Source organism: Homo sapiens, chromosome 19 (assembly GCF_000001405.40).
Source record: "Homo sapiens chromosome 19, GRCh38.p14 Primary Assembly".
Lineage (NCBI taxonomy): Eukaryota > Metazoa > Chordata > Mammalia > Primates > Hominidae > Homo > Homo sapiens.
This window is the reverse complement of record NC_000019.10, coordinates 9,887,421-9,907,117: the sequence shown is the minus strand read 5'-3', so window position 1 is coordinate 9,907,117 and position 19,697 is coordinate 9,887,421. Positions and strand designations below refer to the sequence as shown.

Genomic DNA, 19,697 nt, shown 5'->3' with positions numbered 1-19,697 from the left:
TGGGTATGCTGGTGATGGGGCCAAGTGTTGACTGGAGATGGAGGTGGGCTCCCAAGCTCCGGGTGACCCCTTGCCCCCTCTGCCCCCGAGCACCATTCCCCCTCCCCGGCTGCCACTCAGGAGGGCGTCCCTCTAGGACCCAGCCACCAGGCCCAGTACTGGCTCCAAGATGGAACAGCTGTCTGGGCTGCAGCTGCAGAAGCTCATTTTGAACAAGGGAGATGATTGCAAGAGTGATTGGGGGAGGGAGAGGGAAGGGGAGGGTAGCTAGGGCCAAAAGGAATCAGGCCTGATTGTTACTGCTGCCTGCCGCTGCAGAGAGTGGATTGCCCAGGAGATGGGGAAGGCCAAGCCAGGCGGGAAAAGGCAGAGGGGAGGTTTGTCTGCCCAGCCGCACGTCCATCTGTCCCCACTCTGGTCCTCCCAGTTGCAAAGTTTCTCTGCCTGCGTCTCTCTCTTCCTGCATTTCAGAGTCCGTATCTCTGACTCTGCAGTTCGGTTTGTATTTGAGTTTCCGCATCTCCCCTTGCCTAATCTCTCTGCCCCTCCGCCTGGATCTCTGAATCTCTGAGCCTTCCCGCTTGTCCCTCAGTGCTGCTGTCGTGATCAGAAACACAGCTAAGGTTTGAGCAGCTCTTGGGCGCGCTCTTTCTTGTCTTGTCATTTCTGCGATACTCAGGGGCCAGAGACACATAGAGGCAACAAATTCCCAGGAAACGGATGGAATGGTGTCCTTCGATAAAGGGATATTTGCAAAGATATCTCAATGAGGACTAATTAATTAAGCGAGCCACTTCCCCTGCCCTCTCCCCCACCCTGTGTGCCCGCAGCCTCCTGGGAGGGAACCAGCCAATGAGTGGATGGCAGAGCCTGGTGCTCAGACAGTGTCTCGATGTTTAATTTATAACAGCCTTCTCCCCGCCGCCCCATCAATCCATCTGGAAGGGCAAGGTGGCCATGGGCGTGTAGACTGTGGCAGAGGTTGGAGACCTACCTGGTCCCCGTGAAAGCATGCTTGGGTGTGTGTGTGCCCCTGTGTGTCAGAGCGTGTCATAGCATGTTTGAGCGTGTCTTCATGGCAAGCACGCCCCATCGTGTAAGGGGAATCTGATGGCCATCAGTTGTGTCTGAACCCAAGGGACGTGTTGGAGTGAATGAGAGCGTGTCTTGTGTGCGGAATGTCTGAGCGTGGCAAAGCCATGCCTGACTGTTGAGGTGCGATGGGGCTTGTGGAGCACATATGAGGATATGGCACATGTTGGGGCTGCTCAGGGTATAGCGCCTGTGCCAGGCTGCCAAGGCCTGTACTTGCAGGTAAAGCTTTTCTTCTCAAGGGCATGGCAAGGTAGGTTTTTGGCAGGGGCTCCTGGTAAGAACAGCAGAGACAGGACAAGGATCCACAGCTTCCAAGAGGAGCCAATCTGAATCTTTCCGGCCCCTTCAGCACTAGTGGCTCAAGAAGGTTGAGTTCCAACTTTTTTTTTTTTTTTTTTGAGATGGAGTCTCATTCTGTCGCCCATGCTGGAGTGCAGTGGCGCAACCTCCACCTCCCGGGTTCCAGTGATTCTCCTGCCTCAGCCTCCTGAGTAACTGGAACTACAGGCACCTGCCACCATGCCTGGATAATTTTTTTTGTATTTTATTTTATTTTATTTTATTTTGAGATGGAGTCTCGCTCTGTTGCCCAGGCTGGAATGCAGTGGCGCAATCTCGGCTCACTGCAAGCTCCGCCTTCCGGGTTCAAGCCATTCTCCTGCCTCAGCCTCCCGAGTAGCTGGGACCACAGGCGCCCACCACTACGCCCGGCTAATTTTTTGTATTTTTCGTAGAGACGGGGTTTCACCGTGTTAGCCATGATGGTCTCAATCTCCTGACCTCATGATCTGCCCGCCTCGGCCTCCCAAAGTGCTGGGATTACAGGTGTGAGCCACCGCACCCGGTCTTTTTTTTGTATTTTTAGTAGAGACAGGGTTTCAACATATTGGCCAAGCTGGTCTTGAACTCCTGAGCTCAGGCAGTCCACCCGCCTTGGCCTCCCAAAGTGCTGGGATTACAGCCATGAGCTACTGTGCCTGGCCTCAACTTTTTTTTTTCCTCCCAAGACAGGGTCTCACTCTGTCACCCAGACTGTAGTGCAATGGCATGATCATAGCTCACTGCAGCCTCGACGTCCTGTGTTCAAGTGATCCTCCTGCCTGAGCCTCCCAAATAGCTGGGACTACAGGTGTGCACCACCACACCTGGCTAATTTTTAAATTTTGCATAGAGATGGAGCTCACTATGTGGCCCAGGCTGGTCTCAAACTCCTGTCCTCAAGTGATCCTCCCACCTTGGCCTCCCGGAGTGTTGGGATTACAGGCATGAGCCACCATGCCTGGCCAGAATTCCAACTCTTGATATAATAGTTGCTTTTCTGTCCTCTGGCTTCCCACCCCCAGTGTGTGGCTTCAGAGTCCCCAGTTTTCCTCATCTCTCTAGTCCTACCAGGCCCCTCAGAGTCACTTCTCAACCCCACTTCTGCTTGCCCCTTCACACTACACACAGGGGAGCTACCAGTGCTGAGGGAAAGTGTTGCCTGTTAAGTTTAGCTTTCTAGTTATGAAGCCCTCAGTATAATACTCAGACTGGGCTGGGCATGGTGGCTTACGCCTATAATCCCAACACTTTGGGAGGCAGACGTGGGTGGATCACCTGAGGTCAGAGGTTCGAGACTAGCCTGGCCAACATGGTGAAACCCTGTCTCTACTAAAAATACAAAAATTAGCTGGGCGTGGTGGTACATGCCTATAATCCCAGCTACGTGGGAGGCTGAGGCAGGAGAATCGCTTGAACCTGGGAGGCGGAGGTTGCATAGAGCCGAGATCCTGCCCCTGCACTCCAGCCTGGGCGACAGAGTGAGACTCCATCTCAAAACACACACACACACACACACACACACACACACACACACACACACACACACACAAACAATACTCAGCCTGGGATTGGAGGCCTTAAGGGCAAGACTAACAGGGTGGTTCAGACAGGTCTGATGATGCAACCCTCAGTGTAATGCCCAACCAGGTAATGCAGCCTTCAGTATAATGACAAGTCTGGTGATGCAGCCCTCAGTGTAGTGCCCATGATAGTGATGTGGCCTTCAGTATAATGACAAATCTGGTGATGCAGCTCCCAGTGTAGTGCCCATCAGAGTAATGCAACCTTCAGTAGAATAACAAGTAGATGTAGCCTTTAGTGTGATGCCAGGATAGTATTGAGGCCAAAAATGTATCTTAAATATGACTTTGGTTCTGCAGATAGATGCTGGCTGGGGCACTTGGTGCAGTGAGAAGGAAAGGAAATTTGTTTATTCTTGGGAGTAAATAGCCAGACATTCTCTGGCTATTCCAGGAGTCCAGGGTTTCCTACCTTGCTGGCCAAGGCTGGCTCCATTAGCCCTCGTAAGTGCCATGTGACCTCAGCAGGACATCAGGCTTATTAGTAGAGCAGAAGTTCTGCAGGAATATTTCAGGTTTCACCGCAATGCTAATGAGTTCGTTGGGGAGACCTAAGATGGCAGCTGACAGATATATACAGATGCCAGTTCCTCCTGAAAGGAGCGTAGGAATGTTTGTGGATACAGGCGGCTGAACAAATGGGTGTGGAGAGTTAATCATGGAAGGGCACAGTTGTTACTTGAATGGATGCAAGTGTGTGGCTTCTGTGTGATTAACATGTTAGTGAATAACATGTTTTTGGCTCCTGGTGAGCATACATGTGGGTACCTGGCTGTTCAGGAGAGCACACAGAGGGCCATGGGTGTTCACAGGGAGGCGTTCACCTGTGTGATGGGCTCTCATGCTGGCACATGTGGCAGAGCTATTTGTGAGTATGGGTATGTGCACTTCTGTCCATGGCTGCAGAATTATCCAGGATAAAAGCAATGGCCAGGTGCAGTGGCTTATACCTATTATCTCAGCGCTTTGAGAGGCCAAAGTGGGAGGATCACTTGAACCCAGGAGTTCAAGACCAACCTGGGCAACATTGTGAGATCCTGTCTCTACAACAAAATATGTAAAAATCAGCCAGGCATGGTGGTGCATGCCTGTAATCCCAGCTATTCAGGAAATCGAGGCTGTCTGTACAAAAAGTACAAAAATTAGCTGGGCGTGGTGGTACCCGCCCGTGGTCCCAGCTACTTGGGAGGCCAAGGCAGGAGGATCACTTGAGCTCAGGAGTTCAAGACCAGTCTGGGCAACATAGGGAGATCCTGTCTCTACAGCAAAAAGTATAAAAAATTAGCCAGGCATGGTGGTGCATGCCTTTAATCCCAGCTACTCAGGAAGTCGAGGCTCCAGTGAGCTATGATCGCACCAGCACTCCAGCCTAGGTGACACAGTGAGACCTTGTCTCTAAAAAGAAACCAGAAAAGGCTGGGTGATCCTCCCACCTGGTCTTGAACTCCTGGGCTCTCACCTGTAATCCCAGCACTTTGGGAGGCCAAGGCAGGTGGATCACTTGAGTGGAGTTCAAGACCAGCCTGGCCAACATGGTGAAAACCCATCTCTACTAAATACAAAATATAAAAATTAGCCAGGCACAGTGGTGGGTTCCTGTAATCCTAGCTACTCGGGAAGCTGAGGCAGGAGAATCGCTTGAACCCAGAAGGCAGAGGTTGCAGTGAGCCGAGATCACGCCATTGCACTCCAGCCTGGGCGACTGAGTGAGACTCCATCTCAAAAAAAAAAAAAAAAAAGATGAAGGCAAGTAAACACAGATATATCCAGTGTCCTCAATATCAATATAGAGTCGGCTGGGCGCAGTGGCTCACGCCTGTAATCCCAGCATTTTGGGAGGCTGAGGTGGGCGAATCACGAGGTCAGGAGATCGAGACCCTCCTGGTTAACACGGTGAAACCCCGCCTCTACTAAAAATACAAAAAATTAGCCAGGCTTGGTGGCGGGTGCCTGTAGTCCCAGCTACTCGGGAGGCTGAGGCAGGAGAGTGGAGTGAACCTAGGAGGCAGAGCTTGCAGTGAGCCGAGATCACGCCACTGCACTCCAGCCTGGGTGACAAAGCGAGACTCCATCTCGAAATATATATATATATATAGTCAGTATATAAAGTGATTACGCAGGTTGACTTGTGGGCTCACGAATTGTACACAGAATCTATGGAAATAGAATGTTTGTGAACATGTGTGAACAAAAGGAATGTTTATTGCCATTGGCAACAGCACACAGACATACATATCCTCTAATGCACAATGGCGTTTCCCTGGATTTCCACTGATGTGCACATATGTGCATAGCTAGTTACAGGCATGTCCAGATACTCCACATGTGCCCTAAACGTGGGAATTCACAGGTGCCTGTGGATAAACAACACAGGCGTCCACATCTGGTTGCAGAATCCCTGTGCACTCCAATGCCTACATGCTGCTCTTTTGGAACACAAATAACCAAATCTCCAGAAATTCTCTGAACTCCTGGCAAAGCGAGATCTCAAAGCCAACAAAGGTGGCCTCAAAAGTGCCCTCAGGCTCTTTTCAAAGGAGTACAGAGGGAAGTTCAGAGTCAGGTGGGTGTCTGAGTTCTCGGCCATCCTGGATAGTGAGCCAGGAATACAGAGCCCTGAGCACAGCCCTGCTCACCACACCAACCTTTCTTTCATTATGTTTTTTGTTTGTTTGTTTGTTTGTTTGTTTGTTTTTGAGACAGAGTCTCACTCTGTCGCCCAGGCTGGAGTGCAGTGACGCGATCTCAGCTCACTGCAACCTCTGCCTTCCAGGCTCAAGCAAGTCTAATTCCTCAGCCTCCCAAGTAGTTGGAATTACAGGCACAGGCCACTGTATCCAGCTTCCTTCCTTCCCTCCCTCCCTCCCTTTCTTTCTTCTTTCCTTCCTTTTTTTTTTTTCTCCTTTCTTTCTTTCCGTCCTCTTTCCTTCTTTCCTTCTTTCTTTTCCTTCCTTCCTTTCTTTCTTTTTCTTTCCTTCTTTCTTTCCTTCCTTTTTCTTTCTTTCCTTCCTTCCTTTTTCCTTCCTTCCTTCCTCACTCTCTTTCTTTCCCTCCCTTCCCTCCCTCCCTCCCTTCCCTCCCTCCCCGCTTCCTTCCCTCCCTTCCTCCTTCCCTCCCTCCCCCCTCCCTCCCTTCCTTCCTTCCTTCCTTCCTTCCTTCCTTCCTTCCTTCCTTCCCCTTCCCTCCCCTTCCCTTTCCCTTTCCCTCCCCTTCCCTCCCCTCTCCTCTCTTGAAACAAGGTCTTGCTCTGTCACTCAGGCTGGAGTGCAGTGCTGCAATCATAGCTCACTGCAGCCTCAACCTCCTGGGCTCAAGTCATCCTCCCAACTCAGCCTGCTGAGTAGTTGGGACTACAGGCATGCATCACCATGCTCAGCTAATCTTTAATTTTTTTGTAGAGACAGGGTTTTACAATGTTGTCCGAGCGGGTCTCAAACTCCTAGGTTCAAGCGACCCTCCTGCCTCAGCCACCCGAAGCGCTTCACCAGCCTTTTTTAGCTGGGATTTCTCTCCCCACCCCCATCACGTTTCACACCTTTCCCCCATCAGAGCTAAGTATGGGGGGCAATGCAAAGAAAGGTGCCCGGCACAAGGAAGGGTGCAGTGCGTGGTAGAGACCGTGGTTTTTATTGAGTCGAATCATGATTACTATCATGAATATTCTCCACCAGTGTGGTGCAGAGAGATCCCGGCCCTTTTCTGTCTCATTTTCCAGCCTTTTCTCACACCTCCTGCGTGTGCTTGTGTCCACCGTGGTGTGCCTCCATCATCCACTGATGCAGCTCCGTCAGTTTCTCTCCTTCCCTGCTCCAGCTGGAGAAGGTCCATCTTTTCAAGTCATCCCTCTCCTCCCCTTCCCAGGTTTCCTCTCTCGGCAGTTAGCTCTTCCCTGACACCTCTCTTCATTTTCATTTGCCTCCTGTTGGCCATGGGGTGGGTGGGAGTCAGAGAGTCTGTTTGGAATTGAAAGCCTCCTAACCGGCCCAGGGAAGTAGGAGCTTTATGTAAGGAATGCAGGGGATCTCACAAAACCCAATAGCTGGGGCTCCAGGGACCTAGAAAGCCATGATTCGCTCATTTGTCAATTCGGTCAACAGATATTTATTATGCACCTACTATGTGCCAGGGGGACACGTGAGACAAGGCACTTGCTCTTGTGGAACTGACATTGTGGTGGGAGGAGATCAATAACAAACAAATAAACAAGAAATTATCATCTGGCCATAAGCGCAGTACAGAGGGCTAAACAGTATCCGGCGGGGGTGGGGCGGGTGTGGTGGCTCACATATATATGTAATCCCAGCACTTTGGGAGGCTGAGGTGGGAGGATTGCTTGGTCCCAGGAGTTCAAGACCAGACTGGGCAACATAGTGAAACCCTATCTCTAAAAAAAAATACAGAAATTGGCCAGGCATGGTGGCGTGCACCTGTAGTCCCAGCTACTTGGGAGGCTGAAATGGGAGGATCACTGGGGCCCAGAGGTCGAGGCTGCAGTGAGCCATGGTTACACCACTGTACTCCAGTCTGGGTGACAGAGCAAGACTCTGTCTCAAAAAAGAAAAGAGAAGAACAAAACAAGTAGATGGGAGAGAGTATGAGTGGGTGAGCCCCATTATGTTGGGTCACTGGGGTAAGCTCTTTGGGGAGCTGATTGAGAAGGAGCCAGGGAGACGGGCATCATGAGAGAGGGAGCTGCATGTGCAGAGGCCCTGAGGTTGAAACAAGCATAGTGCACTCTGGAAAGAGAAGGCTGGAGAGGGAGAGAGAATGGAGTTGTAGAGGTTGGCAGGGAACACTGCATTCGAGGCTTCTGGCCACAGTGAACTGTTGGCTTTTATTCTTTTTTTTTTTTTAATTGAGATGGAATCTCATTCTGTTGCCCAGGCTGGAGTGCAGTGGTGCAAACTTGGCTCGCTGCAGCCTCCACCTCCCGGGTTCAAGTGATTCTCCTGCCTCAGCCTCCCAAGTAGCTGGGATTACAGGTGGCTGCCACCACGCCTGTCTAATTTTTGTATTTTTAGTAGAGATGGGGTTTTGCCATGTTGGCTGGGCTGGTCTCGAACTCCTGACCTCAAGTGATCCACCTACCTCGGCCTCCCAAAGTTGTTGGCTTTTATTCCAAACGCAGTGAGAAGCTGCTGGACGATTTGCCGTGGGGTGGAGGGACTTGATCTGATTCACATTATTTAAAGATCTCTCTAGCTGCTGGGTTGGGTAATGGATTCCCGGAAGTGAGAGTAGAATCAGAAGGACCGAGCAAGCCCGGTGTTATCTGAACCAGAACAGTGGTAGCTGGAATGGTGAGCAGTGGGCAGACTGGTACATCTCAGAAGCAGAGCCGTCAGCACTTGCTGATGGATCAGATGTGATGAATTGGGGGAAGAGAGGAACACAGAAATGGCGTGGTGGCTGGAGAGACTTATAAGGCCCAGGGAGAATTTCTTAAAGATAAGGAGGGGGCCAAGCACAGTGGCTCATGCCTGTAATTCCAGAACTTTGGGAGGTTGAGGCAGGAGGATCGCATGAGCCCAGGAATTTGAGACCACCCTGGGCAACATAGCAAGACCCAGTCTCCACACACAAAAAAATTTTTTTTTTTTTTGAGACGGAGTCTCATTGTTGCTCAGGCTGGAGTGCAATGGCACAATCTCTGTTCACTGCAACCTCCACCTCCCGGGTTCAAGCAATTCTCCTGCCTCAGCCTCCTAAGTAGCTGGGATTACAGGCGCCCGCCACCACACCCAGCTAATATTTGCATTTTTAGTAGAGAAGAGGTTTCATCATGTTGGCCAGGCTGGTCTCGAACTCCTGACCTCAGGTGATCTGCCTGCCTTGGCCTCCCAAAGTACTGAGATTACAGGCATGAGCCAACACTCCCAGCACAAAAAATTTTTTTAAAAAAATTAGCTGGGGCCAGGCGCTATGGCTCATGCCTGTAATCCCAGCACTTTGGGAGGCCGAGGTGGGTGTATCACCTGAGGTCAGGAGTTCGAGACCACCCTGACCAACATGGTGAAATCCCGTGTCTGTCTCAAAAAAAAAAAAAAAAATTAGCTGGGCACAGTAGCATGCATCTATAGTCCCAGCTACTTGGAAGGCTGAGGTGTGGGAGGATTGCTTGAGCCCAGGAGGTCGAGGTTGCAGTGAGCTATGATCACGCCACTGTGCTCCAGCCTGGGTGACAGAGCGAGACCCTGTCTAAAAGTAAAAATAAAATAAAAGACAAGGAGAATCAAGGCAGAACAGACATCAGACAGGTCACTCTGCATGTTAATAGCCAGGAAGTAACAATGATCCGAACCCCCTTCCATGCTCCATGGGAAGAAAGCCAGTGTGTCCCCCAAGATTTTTGTGACTCTGTGGAGGAGCCTGAATTGTCTTGGTCACTGTGCTTCTGACTTCTTGCTTCTGCTGAATTATTATTCCCCACCTGGCATCTCATGCCCTTGGGTTTTTGCTCTGACCTTTACTGAGACCGGGAGGGAGCTCAGCCCCTGAGGTCATGGAGAGCCTCAAATGCCAGGCCAAGTCACTCAGACTAGATCCTGAAAACAGCGGAGCCATTTATCCATTCGTGTATTTATTTATTCAACAAGTATTTTGTTTTTATTTTATTTTATTTTTGAGACAGAGTCTCATTCTGTCGTCCAGGCTGGAGTGCAGTGGCGCGATCCCAGCTCACGGCAGCCTCAACCTCCCTAGGCTCAGGCAATCCTCCCACCTCAGCCTCCTGAGTAGCTGGGACTACAGGCTCACACCACCATGCCTTCTAATTTTTTTTTTTTTTTTTTTTTGAGACGAAGTCTCACTCTGTTGCCCAGGCTAGAGTGTAGTGGTGGGATCTTGGCTCACTGCAACCTCCACCTCTGGGTTCAAGTGATTCTCCTGCCTCAGCCTCCCAAGTAGCTGGGATTACAGGCATGCACCACCATGCCTGCCTAATTTTTGTATTTTTAGTAGAGATGGGGTTTCACCATTTTGGCCAGGCTGGTCTTGAACTCCTGACCTCAGGTGATCTGCCCACCTTGGCCTCCCAAAGTGCTGGGATTACAGGTGTGAGCCACCACATCTGGCCCACATCCTCTAATTTTTTGTAGAGACAGGGTCTCGCTATGTTGCCCGGGCTGGTCTTGAACTCCTGGGCTCAAGCGATCCACCCGTCTCAGCCTTTCAAACTGCTAGGATTATAGGTGTGAGCCACTGCACCCTCAACAAGTGTTTTTGAGGACTTCTTATATGCTTTTAAGGGAGAAATTATATTCAACCAAACAGACATGGATGTGTGGCGCTTTCTGCAAAACAGGGAGGTAGGTGATGATTATGTAGTTGCAAATAAATATAATTGGCAGCTGTGATTAACAGCTTTGAGGGAAAGATTCTTGGTGCTCTAGTAGCTTCTAATAAGGAGATTTGATGTAATTTGGAAGTCAGAGGAAGCAAGAGCTGAGATCTGATGCAGAGAGGAAAGGATGCTCTGCGCAGAGGGAATTGCTTATGCAAAGGCCCTGGGGTAAGAGGAAGGATGGAAAATATGATGGACTAAAGAAGGCCTTGCAAGGCCAGGTGAGGTGGTGGCTCACACCTATAATCCCAGCACTTTCGGAGGCCGGGGTGGGAGGATGGCTTGAGCCAGGAGTTCCAGGCTGCAGTAAGCTACACTTGTGCCACTGCACTCCAGCCTGGGTAACAGAGCAAGACTCTGTCTCTAAAAAAAATTAAAATAGGCTGGGCGCTGTGGCTCACGCCTGTAATCCCAGCACTTTGGGAGGCTGAGGCGGGCGGATCACAAGGTGAGGAGATTGAGACCATCCTGGCTAACACAGTGAAACCCTGTCTCTACTAAAAATACAAAAATTAGTCGGGCGTGGTGGCGGGCGCCTGTAGTCCCAGCTACTCGGGAGGCTGAGGCAGGAGAATGGCATGAACCCGGGACGCGGAGCTTGCAGTGAGCCAAGATCGCGCCACTGCACTCCATCCAGCCTGGGCAACAGAGCAAGACTCCGTCTCAAAAAAAAAAAAAAAAAAAAAAATTAAAATAAAGTAAAGAAGGCCTGGGAACGAGGAGACCAGATGAAAGCAGAGAAGTAAGTAAAGTGCAGAGCCACAGGCTCTTGTGGCGACATTAAGGAGTTTTATCTCTATCCTAAGAATAAAAGGAATCCACCAATATGGTTTTGGCCGGGAGGATAATATGATCACACGTGCGTTGTAAAGTTTCCCAGCTTTCAGAGGCCAAGGCGGGTGAATCACTTGAGGTCAGGAGTTTGAGACCAGCCTGGCCAACATGGTGAAACCCTGTCTCTACTAAAAATACAAAAATTAGCCAGGTGTGGTGGCGTGGGCCTGTAATCCCAGCTACTCAGTAGGCTGGGGCAGGAGAATCACTTGAACCCTGGAGGTGGAGGTTGCAGTGAGCTGAGATGGCACCACTGCACTCCAGCCTGGACGACAGAGCGAGACTCGGTCTAAAAATATAAATAAATAATAAAAATAAATAAAGTTTCCCAGAAGCTCCCATGTGTAGAGTTACTAGCAAGAAAAAAGGTAGATTGAGGTAGACCGAATAGACTTTATTTTTATTTAAATGTTTTGTCATATTTTACATTTATTTATTTATTTATTTATTTGAGACAGGGTCTCACTCTGTCACCCAGGCTGGAGTGTAGTGGTGTGATCACGGCTCACTGAAGCCTTGACTTCTCAGGCTCAAGTGATCCCCCACCTCAGCTTCCCGAGTAGCTGGGACTACAGGCGTGTGCCACCACACCCCGCTAATTAAAAAAAAATTTTTTTTTTGGTACAGTTAGGGTCCTAGTATGTTGCCCAGGCTGGTCTCAAACTCCTAGGATCAAGCAGTCCTCCCACCTCGGCCTCCCAAAGTGCTGGGATAACAGGCATAAGCCACTGCACACAGCCTAGACTTGCTGAATTGTGAAAGTGGCTTGGACCATTGCATGGTGATAGAGATGAAGAATGATGCATGAATTCTAAAGCTATCTAGGAGTTAACATCAGTAGGATTTGGTGAGGGAGTAAAATGAGGGTGAGGATAATGCCCGGGTGTCTGACCCACTGGCCCGGGGGTGGGGAGGATGGAGATGGTGACATAAGGAATGTTGGATAAGAACTAGGTTAGGGAGGGAAGGCTGTGCACTTCAGTTTGAGCATGTTGGGCTTGAGATGCCTTAGAGATATCTGGGGCAGGGGGAGCGGTCAAGGAGTCAGATGATGAATATATGCATTGGAGCTCTGAGGACATATATACAGGCAGGTGTTGATGGACGCTTTGGTAAGGGTCAGACTCCTTAGAGAAAGATAAAGAGAAAATGCAAGGCTAAGTCTAGAGCTGTGGTTCTCAACCGAGGAGTGGGAAGTTATTTTATTTATGTATTTTTTTAATTTTTTATTCTTTTGAGACGGAGTTTTGCTCTTGTTGCCCAGGCTGGAGTGCAATGGTGCAATCTCGGCTCACTGCAACCTCTGCCTCCTGGGTTCAAGCCATTCTCGTGGCTCAGCCTCCCGAGTAGCTGGGATTACAAGCAGGCACCACCACACCTGGCTAATTTTGTATTTTTAGTAGAGACGGGGTTTCTCCGTGTTGGTCAGGGTGGTCTCGAACTCCTGACTTCAGGTGATCTGCCCGCCTCAGCCTCCCAAAGTGCTGGGATTACAGGCGTGAGCCACTGCACCTGGCTTTATTTTATTTATTTATTATTATTATTATTATTATTATTATTATTATTATTGAGAGAGAGTCTCACTCTGTTGCCCAGGCTGGAGTGCAGTGACACCATCCCGGTTTCACTGCAGCCGTGACTTACCTGGGCTCAGGTGACAGCAGGTTTTGACCCTTCCTGTTTAGCACATGTTACCATGATCTCTGCTCACTGCAACCTCCCCTTCCCGGGTTCAAGTGGTTCTCCTGCCTCAGCCTCCTGAGTAGCTGGGATTACAGGCGTGCGCCACCACGGCCGGCTAATTTTTGTATTTTTAGTAGATATGGGGTTTCACCATGTTGGCCAGGCTGGTCTCGAACTCCTGGCCTCAAGTGATCCATCCGCCTTGGCCTCCCAAAGTTGCTGGGATTACAGGAGTGAGCCACCATGCCCGACCAAGAAAACCCTCTTGAATGCTCTCTCCTGAACTCCTGACCTGAGGTTTGGTGTCTGAGGCTGGGGAGAGCTCAGATAGAGGGATGTTCAACTCTAGTATCTATGAGGTGAGACTCAGGATGGTTCTTGTAACGTCTTGAAACCTCTTGAAGATTTATGCTGTGTGTAATAGCTCATCAAGAAACCCTGGTAATAATCCTTGAAATAGACCTGCGAACTCTGCTTTAATGAATTTTACATGATGGCGTTGGAGAAATGAAATCCCCTTACCCTCATTAATCCTGAGACACAGCAATCATTTGCAGTAGACGTTCACCCAAGAGGCCCCAAACACTTTAAGAGAAGTGCTCCACACGTGAGAAGGTGCCCAGGAAGGGGAAATTTCTGCCATGAAATCCTCACCTGATTGTGAACGTTCTACTAGGGCAGGGTGTACCCAGGTACTGAGATAGACCAGGCTCAGCTCAGGTTCCAAGACGGGGGGTTCACTCAAGTCCTGGAACAGAACACAGATACATCCCCAAGGTGTTAAGATGCTCCATGATTGGCCGGGTGCGGTGGCTCACGCCTGTAATCCCAGCACTTTGGGAGGTGGAGGCGGGTGGATCACCTGAGGTTGGGAGTTCGAGACCACCCTGGCTAACATGGTGAAACCCAGTCTCTACTAAAAATACAAAAATTAGCTGGGCATGGTGGTAGGCGCCTGTAATCCCAGCTACTTGGGAGGCTGAGGCGGGAGAATCACTTGAACCTGGGAGGTGGAGGCTGCAGTGAGCTGAAATTGTGCCATTGCACTCCAGCCTGGGCAACAGAGCGAGACTCTGTCTCAAAAAAAAAAAGAAAAAGAAAAAAAATAAAAGATGCCTTGTGGTTTGACTCTATGACAGACTAGAGTCAAGCCCAAGCCTTGGACAGACAAAGGCTTAACTGGGAGAGACCAAAGAGAAACCTGGTTCTAAGAGATGAAGAGGGCCAGGACCAAATCCGAGTCCTGGGTAGATCAGGGCTACGCTGTGGACTTGAGATAGACAAGGCCAAACCCAAGTACTGAGATAGACCAGAGTTTAACTTGAATCCTGAGATGGACCAGGGCTGAACCCACATCCTGAGACAGATCAGACCAGAACCTTGTGAGGAGAGAACCAGAAAATGGGCTTATCTTAGAGAAGTTGTGGGAGAACAGGTTTGCTCTCCCTACTTGTTGAGCCGCGTCACCCAAACTGTCGAGTGCCTCTGGGATGAATGGCCATTGCAGATGACTTGGAATGTCCCAGGACTCATGAGGGGATGAGAATTTTATTTTTATTTGATTTGATTTGACACAGAGTCTTGCTCTGTCACCCAGGCTGGAGTGCAGTGGCGTCATCTGCCTCCTGGGCTCAAGTGATTCTCCCACCTCAGCCTCCTGAGTAGCTGGAACTACAGGCACCCGCCACCAAGCCTAGCTAATTTTCGTATTTTTAGTAGAGACAGGGTTTTGCCATGTTGGCCAGGCTGGTCTCGAACTCCTGGCCTCAAGTGATCCACCCACCTTGGCCTCCCAAAGTGCTGGGATTACAGGCGTGAGGCACCGCACACAGCCAGAATTTTATTTCCCAATGCCAGGTCATCCTAGGATCCAAGGTTGAGCCAGGTCAGGCCCATGAGCCAACAGCACTAGGGATGCCCAGGGTGGCTGTCCCTCCCTGTGGTGTTGGCTGTATGTACTCTGATACAGACTTGAGTGATGCCCCCACTCCATATAGGCTGTCACACCCAGGGTATCACATATCCACACAGCAGCAGATACACACATGCACACACACAGTCACACCAACCCATGCACGTGCCTCAGATACACAGCAACACGTGGCACAGACATGCACATTGACACCCCAAACCCTGGCACACACACGTACAGACCACATCACAGTCTTACAAACACAGCCAACTGGCACACTCAGACATAGCCCTCCTCACTATGCCAGTTTCACATCTGCAATAGTGCCCGACTCCAGGGTCATGGTGTTCTCGGAGAACAGTGTCCCTGGAGTTTTCTCACTTATCTATCATCTGACACCATCCTGTTTTATACATTCATATGCATAGTTTTATACACTTGCTGATGCTCACACACATAAACCTATATATAGCTACCTGCTCATGTGTGTTCTTGATCATGTAGACACAGACGTGCCACACCTCAGTCTCACACACTCACTGGCTCTGTGCCAGTCAGCATAGGCTAGGTTTTGCTGTATAACAAAACAGCCCCCAAGTCTCAGAGGGTTAGTACAACCAAATGAGCTTTTGCTCATGATACATGAGGGTTGGCAGGGTCTCTGCCTAGTCTGGCCACTCAGGGACCCCAGTGATGGAGGCTTCATACCAACATGCACTTTTTTTTTTTTTTTTGAGATGGAGTCTTGCTCTGTTGCCAGGCTGGAGTGCAGTGGTGCCATCTCAGCTCACCTCTGCCTCCCGGTTCAAGCAATTCTCCTGCCTCAGCCTCCCAAGTAGCTGGGACTACAGGCACGTGCCAGCACACCTGGCTAATTTTTATATTTTTAGTAGAGACAGGATTTCACCATGTTGGCCAGGCTGGTCTCGAACTCCTGACCTCAAGTGATTCACCTACCTCGGCCTCCCAAAGTGCTGGGATTACAGATGTGAGCCACTGTGCCTGGCCCCAGCATGCACTTTTTTTTTTTTTTTTTCCGAGATGGAGTCTCGCTCTGTTGCCCAGGCTGTAGTGCAGTGGCACGATCTCGGCTCACTGCAACCTCTGCCTCCAGGTTCAAGTGATTCTCCTGCCTCAGCCTCCTAAGTAGCTGGGATTACAGGCACCCACCACCAGGCCTGGCTAATTTTTGTATTTTTAGTAGAGACTGGGTTTCACCATGTTGACCAGGCTGGTCTTGAACTCCTGACCTCAGGTGATCTGCGTGCCTCAGCCTACCAAAGTGCTGGGATTACAAGTGTGAGCCACTGCACCCAGCCCAACATGCCCTTCTGCGGTTGCTGAGGGAAGACTGTGGCACTGCACACTGGCTTGCCTCTTTTTTTCTTCGTTGTTTCAGAGACAGGGTTTTGCTCTGTGCCCAGGCTGGAGTGCAGTGGTGTGATCACAGCTCACTGCAGCCTCCAACTCCTGGGCTTAAACAATCCTCCTGCCTCAGCCTCCTGAGTAGCTGGGAATATAAGTGTGCACCTCCATGCCCGATAAATTTTTAAAATATTTTGTAGAATAGGGGTCTTGCTATGTTGCCCAGGCTGTTCTCAAACTCCTGGCCTCAAGCAGTTCTCCTGCCTTGGCCTCCCAAAGTGCTGGGATTACAGGTGTGAGCCACCACACCTGGTCCACACCGGCTCTTAAAGTATTCACCTGGAAGTCACTGCCGTTTAAAAGGCATTGGCTAAAGGAAGTCACGTGGCCACACTGGGGAAGTCCTACAGCCCCATCATGTGCCTAAGAGAAAAGAACTAGAAAATGTGTCAACAGTTCTGTTGACTACTGCAGTCTCTTACATGTTCCAACAGTTACTCACTCCTGTAGACACGTCCACATGCACGCACTTTATTCCTTCTCACGGGCACCCATTCTCATGACCTGTTTCCTTCCTTGAGGCAGGGCAGGAGGCCACAGTGCCCGCCCCCTCCCCCCAGAGTCTTCCCTTAGCTTCAGATACATCAGGGGGATCTCCCTGTCTCTGTTGAGCTGGGGGTCCCAGGGGTAATGAGTTTCTGAGCTGCAGCTAGAGCTGGAGCTGAGAAAACAGTGCAGACACCTTCTCTGCCCCCGGAGTGGGTGGTATTTTTCCACAGACACTGGGGAAGAAGAATAATAGGTGCTGGTAGATGTCTCCACCAGCCCAGCGCCTTCCCCGTCTTGCCAGCTGCAGCTTGGAAGAGGGGAGCCCAGAGGGAAGAGAAGGCAAAACCAGAGAGACCCCTGTCCTCCCGACCCGTGTGAGCTCCCAGCGCCACTGGGGACCCTTCGTTGTCCCCTCTCCTCCCGGCTCCTCCTTCTGACTACTCAAATATTCCAAGGCAGGAAACTCATGAATATTTATAGGGGCCTGGCAGTGAGGCAGATATAAAAAAAAAAAAATTGGAATTTATGAACCAGGATTCGTCTATAAATAACAGGCCTGTGGCTGGTGGGGTTCTTCCCTCACCCACAACATTGCTTCAACTGCAGCTCCAGCCCCATCCAAAGCTCACAGAGCCTCCCCTTCACACACATACACACAGCTTCACTGTGGATGCACAATTTCCCATCCGCCAGTGCATTGGCGCACACACACGCATTCATACCCAGCCGAACACACAGACACGTGTTCACACCTGCCTGGGTCTGGCCCACTGCCTCCCTTCCACTCACAGACACCCCGATGCAAAGTGAGCCTGAATGCATCCTCCTCTGTCCACATTCGGGCTGATGCAGCCACTCACACTGCATCTGCACAAAACACACAGTTGGGCTGGGTGTGGTGGCTTATGTCTGTAATCCCAATACTTTGAGAGGCTGAGGCAGGAGGATTGCTTGAGCCCAGGAGTTTGAGACCAGCCTGGGCAACATAGTGAGACCCTATCTCTACAAAAGAAGACAAACATTTACTAGGCATGGTGGCATGCACCTGTAGTCCCAGCTACTTGGGAGGCTGAGGTGGGAGGATTGCTTGAGCCTGGGAGATTGACACTGTGTGTGCTGTGATCGCGCCACTGCACTCCAGCCTGGGCAACAGAGCAAGAGCCTATCTCAAAAACAAAAAACAAAATACAAAAAACACACAGTTGCACACATACACACCATGGAGAGACACATGGCCACAGCTCACTCCCTAACCCATGACCCAAGCACACCCCCTCCCCTCTCCAGGCCTCAGTTTCCTCACCCACATAAGGGGCACACCGAGAGTTCCTACCTCATATGGTTGTTGTGCAGAATTGTTTTTTTTTTTTTGAGACGGAGTCTCGCTCTGTCACCCAGGCTAGAGTGCAGTGGCGCAATCTTGGCTCACTGCAACCTCTGCCTCCCGGCTTCAAGCCATTCTCCTGCCTCAGCCTCCCAAGTAGCTGGGACTACAGGCACCCGCCACCATGCCCGGCTAATTTTTTACATTTTTAGTAGAGACGGGGTTTCACCGTGTTAGCCAGGATGGTCTCGATCTCCTGACCTTGTGATCCGCCCGCCTCGGCCTCCCAAAGTGCTGGGATTACAGGCGTGAGCCACCGTGCCCGGCAGAATTTTAAAAATAACAAATGGATACCAGGTGCCTGTTGTGTGCAAGATGATCTATTTTAAGTGCTGGCAACACAGCAGTGAACAAAAACAGGTAAAAACTCCTGCCTGACGTTCTGGAGGGGAAGAAAGATAATTTGCAAAATTAATGCATAAATGATGTGGCGGAAGCAGATGGAGTAGGGAAGTGGATGGGGGGTGCTGGGGCACTTGTAGTTCTGGCCAGGGGAGATCAGGGAAGGTTTGTTTTTTGTTTTTTTTTTTTGAGGTAAGGTCTCACTGTCGCCCAGACTGGAGTGTAGTCGCATGATCTCAGCTCACCGCAACCTCCGCCCCCCAGGCTCAAGCGATTCTCCTGCCTCAGCCTCCCGAGTAGCTGGGATTACAGGCACGCACCACCACACCCGGCTAATTTTTGTATTTTTAGTAGAGACGGGGGTTTCACCATGTTAGCCAGGCTGGTCTCGAACTCCCGACCTCAAATGATCCACCCACCTCAGCCTCCCAAAGTGCTGGGATTACAGACATGAGCCACTGCGCCAGGCCAGCAGGGAGGGTCTTTTGAGACAATGACATTTCAGTAAGGGTCTGAAGGAGGTGGAAGGACATTTCAGGCAGAGGGGATAGCCAGTGCAAAGAGGTGATATAGAAGAAATATGTTTGGGGTTTTGCAGGAACAGTGTGGCTGGAACAGAGTGAGTGAGAGGGAGAGTGGAAGGAAGTGAGGGCAGGGAGGTGATGGGACAGATTGTGAAGGAGTTACGTGCCTTGGGGAGAACTCTACTTTGAGACAAGGAGAGATCATGGCTCACCACAGCCTCGACCTCCCAGGCTCAAGCGATCCTCCCACTTCAGCCTCCTGTGTAGAAGGGACTACAGACACATGCCACCACTTCCGGCTTATTTTTTAATTTTTTGTAGAGATGGGGTCTCACTATGTTGCCTAGGCTGGTCTCAAACTCCTGGGCTCAAGTGATCCTCTGGCCTCAAAATACTGGGATTACAGGTGTAATCACGCTTGGCTGAGGATTTGGGCTTTTAACTCAGGGGAGATGGGAGCCATGGAGGGTTCTCAGCACGGGAGAGACTCAGTGTGATTCATGTGTTCACAGGTGCTCTCTGGCTGCTGTGGGGGAAGCAGACTGTGGGGGCAAGTAGGGGGAACTGGGAGACCATGGAAGGGATGAACTCTGCTGGTTCAGGTGAGCAATGCCAGGGGCTTGACCATGGAGATGGCCATCAAGAGGGTAGAGCAATGGGTAGATTCTAAAGGTAAGGCTGATGCATTGGTATAAGAGAAAGAGAGGGTGGGCGGTGCGGTGGTTCATGCCTGTAATCCCAACACTTTGGGAGGCCGAGGCAAGTG

At 50.5% G+C, this 19,697-nt stretch overlaps 1 protein-coding gene and 1 long non-coding RNA gene across 3 annotated transcripts in view; one reads left to right on the top strand and one right to left on the bottom strand.

Annotated features, from left to right (window-relative positions):
* Nucleotides 1-19,697, top strand: part of OLFM2 (olfactomedin 2) — an 82,798-nt gene that overhangs the window by 29,398 nt on the left and 33,703 nt on the right. The window lies entirely within an intron of this gene.
* Nucleotides 6,596-13,628, bottom strand: LOC124904636 (uncharacterized). The gene is made up of 2 exons (XR_007067135.1): nt 13,510-13,628; nt 6,596-6,915 (listed from the first exon to the last, which is right to left on the bottom strand). It is a non-coding gene; the product is annotated as an uncharacterized LOC124904636 (long non-coding RNA).